This window comes from Homo sapiens, chromosome 2 (assembly GCF_000001405.40).
Source record: "Homo sapiens chromosome 2, GRCh38.p14 Primary Assembly".
NCBI classification, from domain to species: Eukaryota; Metazoa; Chordata; class Mammalia; order Primates; family Hominidae; genus Homo; species Homo sapiens.
In genome coordinates this window covers 157,318,615-157,327,712 of record NC_000002.12, presented here as the reverse complement: position 1 = coordinate 157,327,712, position 9,098 = coordinate 157,318,615, and the positions used below count along the sequence as shown (strand labels likewise).

At 37.2% G+C, this 9,098-nt stretch overlaps 1 protein-coding gene across 5 annotated transcripts, besides 1 other annotated feature; it reads left to right on the top strand.

The window, feature by feature from the left end:
* On the top strand, nt 1-9,082 carry ERMN (ermin). 5 transcript variants are annotated; one of them, NM_001009959.3, is made up of 4 exons: nt 1-240; nt 2,039-2,311; nt 2,951-3,043; nt 5,922-9,082. In NM_001009959.3, the coding sequence occupies exons 1-4, from the start codon at nt 234-236 to the stop codon at nt 6,440-6,442; spliced, it is 894 nt and encodes a 297-aa protein (NP_001009959.1). In that variant the 5' UTR covers nt 1-233; the 3' UTR covers nt 6,443-9,082. The 5 variants fall into 5 exon arrangements, with proteins under 5 accessions (NP_001009959.1, NP_001291273.1, NP_001291274.1 ...); NM_001304344.2 differs by lacking the exon at nt 1-240 and adding an exon at nt 404-504 and having other exon boundaries at nt 2,051-2,311; NM_001304345.2 differs by lacking the exon at nt 1-240 and adding an exon at nt 404-504.
* Nucleotides 1,456-2,005: an enhancer, noted in NCBI's record as "OCT4-NANOG hESC enhancer chr2:158182220-158182769 (GRCh37/hg19 assembly coordinates)". NCBI's record gives its function as "activates a minimal SCP1, AML or CMV promoter by ChIP-STARR-seq in primed H9 embryonic stem cells {active_cell/tissue: H9 hESC(primed)}" and the evidence as "EXISTENCE:reporter gene assay evidence [ECO:0000049][PMID:30033119]".
* Nucleotides 9,083-9,098: the final 16 nt, after the last annotated feature.

Genomic DNA, 9,098 nt, shown 5'->3' with positions numbered 1-9,098 from the left:
ACAACTGTCTCTACTGCCAAGGTGCTAATGCCGAACCCCTGTGGGATCTCTGGTCCAAGGAAACATCTGCACACAGGCCAGGGATGGCGCTTAGCTTCATCTGTGCTGCAAACTCTCATCAGTAGGCTTGCTGGCTCTGTGACCTTACTAGCTGAACTCCTTAATCTCTCTGCACTTCATTTTTCTAGTCTATAAAATGGAGATAACAACAGCACCTACCTCAGAAGACTGTTATGAAGAGTAAGTGTATTACTATTTATGAGTCAATTAGGACAGTAGCTTGCACATAATAAGTGTGATATGAGCGTTTGTTAAAACAGTTAAACAATCAAACAAACATAGAATTAGAGTGCTGACTAGAGAACAGCTGGTGATGACGCGGGAGGGAGATCTAGGATCTATTAGAGATGTCTTCCAAGGACAAGGGAGAGGGGATTATACAAGAGTGAGGTGTTGTCCCTGATATAGACCTGAATGGGCTCAGCCCTAGACACACTTTTAAAGGTGATATGCTTACTACAACTCTTCAACACCTATTCTTCTTCTCTTTAAAAATGATCTGAAATTTATTCTCTTGGGGATAAAATTTATTGTATATATTATATATATAATATAATTCTTGTTATGTATGTGTATATATATAATTATTTGTGTATATATGTGTATATATATAATTATTTTTATTGCGTGCTACTATTCCAAGCCAGATGCTAAGTGCTGGGGACACATGTAAGCAAGTTAAACTGGCCCCTCGCCAGATGAAACTTAGTTTGCAGTTGGTGAAACAGACATTACAGAGATAATTGTGCAGTTGCTTATTTAGTTACAACCATGAAGAATACTCTGAAGGGCAAAGACAATGTGTAACAGAGTCCTGTCCTAATCCTGGCGGTTAGAGATAGTGTAGTTAAGGAGATGATATTTAAGCTTAAAAACAGAACTTAGGGAAGCTGGTCAGCCCAGGGCTTGGGCTTGAGGAAGAGAAGGGCATTTCACATAGAAGGAGCTGTGTGGGCAAAGGCTCTGGAACCATTTTGTACTATGAGAAATCCAAAAAAGAAAAAGATTTAAAAAGGAAGGGGTGGTCAGTAGCAGTCATTTAACATAATCACCTGTTTCTCCCAAGGGCAGATTGCATTGGTCCTCTACATTTTACCAGCATTGTGTAATATCAGTATGGAATAGAAAGGATTGTAATTCTGATTGGGGGAGGAGAAACCTTCATGGCGATAATTTTATTAGGGTTTTAAAGGATCGGCTGGGCTTCAGCAGACATAAACTAGAGGATAAGAAGCTATAGACTAAGTAAATTACTCTGAAATTATAAAACTTTTGGTATTAGCAAGTTGGTAGAATTTGTTTATTTCATAGGTCCCTTCTCCAGCCTGCTGGAAGCACACCATCAAATCTGCAGCCAGAACCATTTACAGTAAAGTTGTCCTGTTTATAGGTTTTTTCCATAAGCTGTTTTATTTTTTAATAAATAAGAAACAATGCCATTGTCCTTTACAAAATAGCTGAGGTTTTACTTGAACAAAATCTGTTTGGAAATGTTAAGCTGGTTACACAGAACTAATATGCCTCAAGGTGGTCATTCTCTCTGGATTAAAGCTGTGGGACAATTGTGGCTCCTGTTACAGGGAAAATTACAATGGGCCATTATGAAAAGGGACAAAAATCTCTGTTCCCAGAGGGGGACTGACAAGCTGAAAGTCCCTCTCTACATGCCAACACAAAAGCCTGATTGCTTCAGATTGTTTGTTTATGTAAATCAAAAGGATGCCTTTAACTCTGCCAGGGAACTGGCAAGCAACAAAGAAGGTGGTGATTGGCTGGATTCTTGCTCATGGCTCCTGGCAGATCTGACAAATCCTCTTGCTTTTGCTCTAATCTCTGTCTGGATACTTTTAGGAAAAGAACCTTGTTATTATGTACTAAAGTGAATAATTTGTGCTCTTAGAGTAGGAGTTGGAACTATAGGACTTGAAGGCAAGAGCAGGTATCTTATCAAGGATCTACTCACTCAGTTTCCCTAAAGCTCTCTCTCCAGATCGGATTCAACCGCACATCATGACAGATGTTCCGGCTACATTTACCCAGGCTGAGTGTAATGGGGATAAACCACCTGAAAACGGTCAACAAACAATCACTAAAATCAGTGAGGAATTGACTGATGTGGACAGCCCCCTGCCACACTACAGGGTAGAACCCAGTCTGGAAGGTGCACTCACCAAAGGAAGTCAGGAGGAAAGAAGAAAATTACAAGGGAACATGCTGCTCAACTCATCCATGGAGGACAAAATGCTAAAAGGTAAAGTGTTTCCCTTCTCCTTAATTTTCTTGTTTTGACTTATAAATTTACCCTGGATTTTTTTGATAAACTATTATCGAAATGAGCTGGACACCCCAAAAATGTAGCCCTTTATTCTACTACGCATAGTATAAGGACTAAACCTCTGCCTCTGGTGAAATCCAGGCTGGTCTATTTGACAGCTGTGACCCCAGACAACTTTCTGTCTCCCGAAGCCTGAGTTTTTTTCACTAGAAGAAGGCGGAATAATAATAATAACTACAAGTCTAGGGTAAGTATTGGCTAAATGTTAACTACTGTATTTATTATGATTATGGACAGCCCCATATTATTTGAACAAAGAGAATTCAAAATGTTAAAATTTCCTTCTAAATATAACTGAAGTTCTCTGAATTTATGGTTCTATATCTTATATATATATCTTATATAAATATTAAAGGAGAGATTACAATCAATAAAGTGATCATTAAGTAAATAAATTGAATTGATAAAGAATGAATCCAAAGAGTGAAATAGTAAATTTTAATGATCAGATTTAAAATTAAAGACTTCTACCTAGAGTTTAAATTGATAACTTATTAACTGTTGAACAATAAATATTTTAAATGTTAAAATACTGATTTTATATTTTTTTCCTAGAAAACCCAGAAGAGAAACTCTTTATTGTTCATAAGGCTATCACAGATCTTTCTCTCCAAGAAACTAGTGCTGATGAAATGACATTCAGAGAAGGTAACAAGAACTACAGTTTTGTACACAGAAATTGTTTGACTGAGTATGGATGACAGTCTTTCCATGAAATGTTGCATGAGCGTGGGGTTGACAAAGCAATCCAGGCAATGACTTCAAATTTTCAAAGCTGCTGTAGGCAGATAAGAGAGTCTTAACTTATCTGTGGGTTCCACCTTATAAAGCATTCCAGACTGTTCAAGGCTGAGGCTGCATGGAATGGCATAGCTGATTGGCATACCAACGTGATGTCTATCTCTTAAGTTAGTCCACTGAGTCAACCCTACTTTTTGATTTGGTGTGTCCAAATCTGTGTGTGCACCTTGTGAAAGGTAAATGTTTCAAAAACGGGTCTTTCCTAAAAGTCTACAATTAACATACAGCTTTTTTTTTTTTTTTTGAGACGGAGTGTCACTCTTGTTGCCCAGGCTGGAGTGCAATGGTGCAATCTCGGCAGACTGCAACCTCTGTCTCCAGGGTTCAAGCGATTCTCCTGCCTCAGCTTCCTGAGTAACTGGGATTACAGGCACCTGACACCACGCCCAGCTATTTTGTGTGTGTGTGTGTGTGTGTGTGTGTATTTTTAGTAGAGACGGAGTTTCACCATGTTGGCCAGGCTGGTCTTGAACTCCTGACCTCAGTTGATCCACCTGCCTTGGCCTCCCAAAGTGCTGGGGTTACAGGCGTGAGCCACTGTGCCCGGCCAACATACAGTTTAAAGTAATCTCACGAAATGATTTACTTTATAGGCCTCTAATGTAAATACAAAATTGTTAACTATTTCATGTCAAAGAAAGACAGGGTGATAAAGTTAATTTTAATTGTGTTCTTTAAGAAAATGGAAGAATAAAAAGAACATTGAAGTGATTATGTTAAATTTTAAATAAACTTAATAGACTAAGAGACACAAAATCCTTTAGATTTTTCTAAGACACCTACATTTAAACAGTTCCCAAATAAAGTGTAGGATAAAATCTATTAATTAATCATTTCTTTCCTCTCTTGCAGCCATACACATCTTATGTCAAATTGAAGTCAGCTTGCTAAACCTAACCAATTTAGCTTTGTTAGGACTTTAACAGGCAAAATATTGAAGAGACTATTGGTTGAAATATTAGAACATCACATAAAATAGTAGATGTCAAGGAGGACAGGAATGTGATTGGCTATTTCCTACATCTGCTCCCTTTGCCTGAACACCTCTCATACTATGTCTGCTTAGCAGTGTAGCAACACTTAAGGAAATATGTAGCAAGCAATAGACAGTGTCAAGCTGTCACATTACCAGAGATAATTTTTAAGACTTAAGACTTCACAATATGAACTTAATAACCTCTTTGCCCTAATTATTCTGCTTCCAATGTAACAAGTTCTCAGAGGCAGAATCTCAACCTCCTATCATCTAGAGCCCCTTTCAAATGTTTGATCAGGAGTCCATTGCAGGTAACAGTTGTCTAGATCTTTCATTTTCATCAAATGGAGAATGAAAGCAGGCTGTAGTTTTCAGCTAGATGGTCTCGCTGGTTAAGTTTTCCCTCAATGAATCCTTTCCTGTTTGATGGAGTATGTTTTTCCTCCATAATAGAGGCACAGATTTTGGTGTGTTTTATCTTCACAGTGGCAAACAGCTATAAAATCTTCAAAAAGAATGTTACTGGATTAAAACATATAAAGATGCTAAAAATATTGAGGAAAAACTATAATTTAAATTCAAGGAGTAATTTTATATGTGACAATCTCATGGCTGAGTCATGAATATAAACAAAATATCACTTACTTTGGTTCTTGTGGAAAACAAAATAAAACAAAGCATAAGATTATGGCAAACATTCTAATGTGTATTTATGGATAATGTTAGGAACATTGACGGGACACTAGCGACCTGATAGCAGCTGTGTGTAACAAATTAGGGTGATCACCCATCTTTACTTCTATCTCTGTAAGTTTACTATGTATTCCCTAGAGTGAGAAAACAACAAAAAAATAAGAGAACTGAACACCTTGGATGAAAATGGAATTGTGAACATCTTTCGGAGAGAGTAGAATATTGTGGAGGAAAAAGACAAAGAGGAACATTGCCTCTCACCTTACTTATAGACTCTCACGGTGTCAAAAGAAAATGGTGAACTCAGGCCTGACAAGGGGTGTAACCCAGACAGATTTCTGAGTTGTGTACACCACAGACTGAAACTTCCCACAGAAGCCTTGCAGGGCTGAAGGCTCAGAGAACAACCTCAGCTTCCTTATAATTAATTCTTACCATATTCAATAAATATTGTTGAGGGTATGTTGGTATGATCTAGCTGTTTGAAAAGTGACCAGACATGGACAGTCATCATTTTCAGTATTGGAAACGAGCATTTTTTTCTTTCTGAAGTATTTTTCTAATTTTCCTTGAGGTGTGTGTGTGTGTGTGTGTGTGTGTGCGTGTGTGTGTGTATGTGTGAGAAAAAGATAAGTCCAAACATTTCCTTTTACATGTGCACGTATCCAGTTGTGACTGGCTAGACAAGAATTTTTTTTTTTAAGTGTGTCTCAGGGAACACCAGTCTCACTAAATACAGTAGTCCACAACAGAGTTCCATAGACAAATGAAGTTAGGTTGTTGACTTTCTTACAGATTTACAATACTCGTTAGCATTTCAAAGGCTTGTAAAAATTCTGAAGATGCTTATTTAACTGTATTTAATGCAGTGTTTTTGAAATTAATTTGGCTGTGTAGCCTGTTTGTGCAAAACATATTGGTAACCCACAGAATCATATCCCATAAAACATGTGTTGGGAAGTGATTAGCAAGAAAAATTATTTGGAGAATAACAGACTAATGGCTGGGTATTTTGGAATCTCTACACATCTCATCTACCAATTGATTTTGCTACAGGGCATCAGTGGGAGAAGATTCCTCTGAGTGGCAGTAACCAGGAAATAAGAAGACAGAAGGAGAGGATTACTGAGCAGCCTCTCAAAGAGGAAGAAGATGAGGACAGGAAGAACAAAGGTCACCAGGCAGCTGAAATTGAATGGCTGGGATTTCGAAAACCTAGCCAAGCTGACATGTTACATTCTAAACATGATGAGGAGCAGAAGGTTTGGGATGAAGAAATTGATGATGATGATGATGATAATTGCAATAATGATGAAGATGAAGTTCGAGTGATAGAATTTAAGAAAAAACATGAAGAGGTTTCTCAATTTAAAGAGGAAGGTGATGCAAGTGAGGACTCCCCACTGAGCAGTGCCAGTTCCCAAGCTGTGACACCTGATGAGCAGCCAACCTTAGGGAAGAAGAGTGATATCTCCAGAAATGCTTATTCCAGATACAATACAATATCCTATCGGAAAATCAGAAAGGGAAATACCAAGCAAAGAATTGATGAATTCGAGTCTATGATGCATTTATAAACTAACTGGAACTGAGAAATTCTCATGCCCACTAAAGGAAAAGCTAATTCTATTGCCCCAGGGTGCATATTTCTATGCCTTATTTGAGTTATCACTTGGAGGGAGGTGGAAGTTGACTCTCTTTTTCACTGTAGAATAATGTGGAAATAACCCTAGATAAAAATTCAGTCTGATAACCTCAAATCAAAAAGCTTTAAATAAATTCTTGGGCATTTATCTTTTAAAACTTCACTAATATAGCATTGTGTGATAAGCACTAAGCAGTCAGTCCCCTGGGGGAATCTGGCATAATTCGGCTATAAATGTAGCAATGCTTGGAAAGGTAGTCATCAAATGAGACTATTTGAGGGGACTATTTGAAATGATTCTGGTATTTCTTTTGGTATCTTTCTTCCTGTACATTGGAGTGATGGAAAGTCTGGTATTAAAACCTCTCTTACTTTTAAACTTGATTTTGCAGACTCTGGCAATAAGCCTTCCAAAATTCTGTGCCTTTTCTATTATCACCAAACAATATGTTAAGTGGCTTTCCTTGGCATCTACAGAGAAAACATTCTATAGCCCTCCTTCCTAGGTGTTACCATTCACTGAATCTTCTCTCAGAGGGAGATGAGCAATTGTCAGTCAGGATAATTCTGTTTGCTAAATGTTGCCTTTATGCTTTCAAACTGAATTAAACCCATTGTGAGGTTGACACTGGGAGGGGCTAGAAGATTGGTGGGCAGCAGACTAAAGAGTTATGTTGGATAGTTTTATTTCTGTGGCTGAAAATAAAATCTTGTCTAGCACAGTTAAAGTCATTAAAAATAAAAATGACAGCTTTAGCACAATTTTAAGAAAATGCCCCTCTCTATTACCACATTTTCTCTTATTAACAGTATCTCAGAATAATTTTCTTTCCTTAGAAACCTGAGAGAATGCTAGTCATAACTGTACTAGTTACTATGAAAATGGAAATAATTATCTTAGAATATTTTCAAAGTAGAGCGTGAGCATGTATTTTTAGTGGGAGAGCTCTGATAGTTGTTGGGAATATATAATTTACTGGACCTCAGCCCAAATCAAGATGCTTAAAATTGTACTTGTGGAGCTTCACTCAAACCAATGTGTCAAATAACGTATTGAATATTTATGAAAAGAGAGACTATATTTATATTCTTAGATAGTTTGTTCCACAATTTTTCATTTCATGCTTCCATATATATTACCCTGAACTTTCTATCACCACAGATAAAGATTTTGTTTTGCCCTGCAAATAAAAAGACAATTCCTTATTGTCTGAATGTAATACAGTCTTCATTGTACTATTCAACCCTTTGTTTCTTTCTTTTTCATTTTGTGAAAAACTCCATGTTAGTCCTCTTAGATGACTGCTTATTTATGTGTAACATAAATCCCACATATTCTAATGACAACTTCTTTAATCCTTCCGGGTCATATATTATATTTCCATAGTATCACATACTATTATTTAGTTGTTTACAAGACTCCAATTTGAATTCAGGATTACAGTGCTCCTTTCATTCTTTCAAACAGATAACATAAAAGTTCTGTTACCCTCATTCTATACAACCTATGGATTTCATGTGTTACAATATCAGTTTCCAGAATAAAGTGAGGGAAATCAGGTCTTTATTGATAAAGTTAGGGAGAAGATTGATGCAATAGGACAATTTCCAATTTAATTTAGATCCTCTAATCTTTCTACATGGACAAGCTGTTTTCTTTTCTAGGTTACTGATAACCCCTACAATTTTCGACTTAACTTCAAAACACAGTATTGTGTTATCTATCACATAACAGGACCATGTTTTTAACCTACCATCAAGAGCCTGTATTTTGAGTTATTCCAACAGAGATGATGGATTCCTGTAGAACTAGAGGTGGGTGACCTATGGTTATGTGGCACGGCAAAGCAAGTACCTCTTAAGGGACTCTAATATATGCTAACGCTGGTCCTCTTAGCTCTGTGCTCTCACCAGACAATGAATGAACTATGAAAGATTTAGTCAACAGAAACTATTTTAGGGTATGTTTAGTTGGTAAATGCTTCATGTTCATGGATGACACAATGTTTTTGCAAAAAAACCCTGAAACTATTCTTTGGCATTGGTGTCCATGGCCCTATACCGCCATCTTACACGAAAGCCACAGAGTTGAAAGCCACAGAGTTGAAAGCCACAGAGTTAAGTGACCTCAGGTAACATAATGGTGATGGTTGGCCATTTGAGTCTTTGTAACCTAGGAAAGACAAAGGTCTGATTCAGATTGCATGGGGGATTTTTAACATATTTGAAACTCAGGGGGAACATGATTAAGAACACAAACTGGTAGCTACACATGAAGGTTTACTTGAGCTTTTGTGATTCAAAGTTCAGGGGTGGTAAGGACTCTGGTACCAGGGAAGAGGGAGAATTAATTTATTGTGCAAATGCTGGTATTTCTTACATGATTTTTTGTTTTCCTCTGTTGCTAGATAAATAGAAACTAATAATAGCTCTATTTCTCTGCCAATATAAAATCTACCTTTCATATAATGCTACATTGAAGGCACAGAATTTGCTACCATCTCTCTCTCCCCCTACCTACCAAACTATCCACAATTTAAATAAAGAACTGCTGTGTCTGACTTACTCTCAATAAAAGTTTGTGTCTT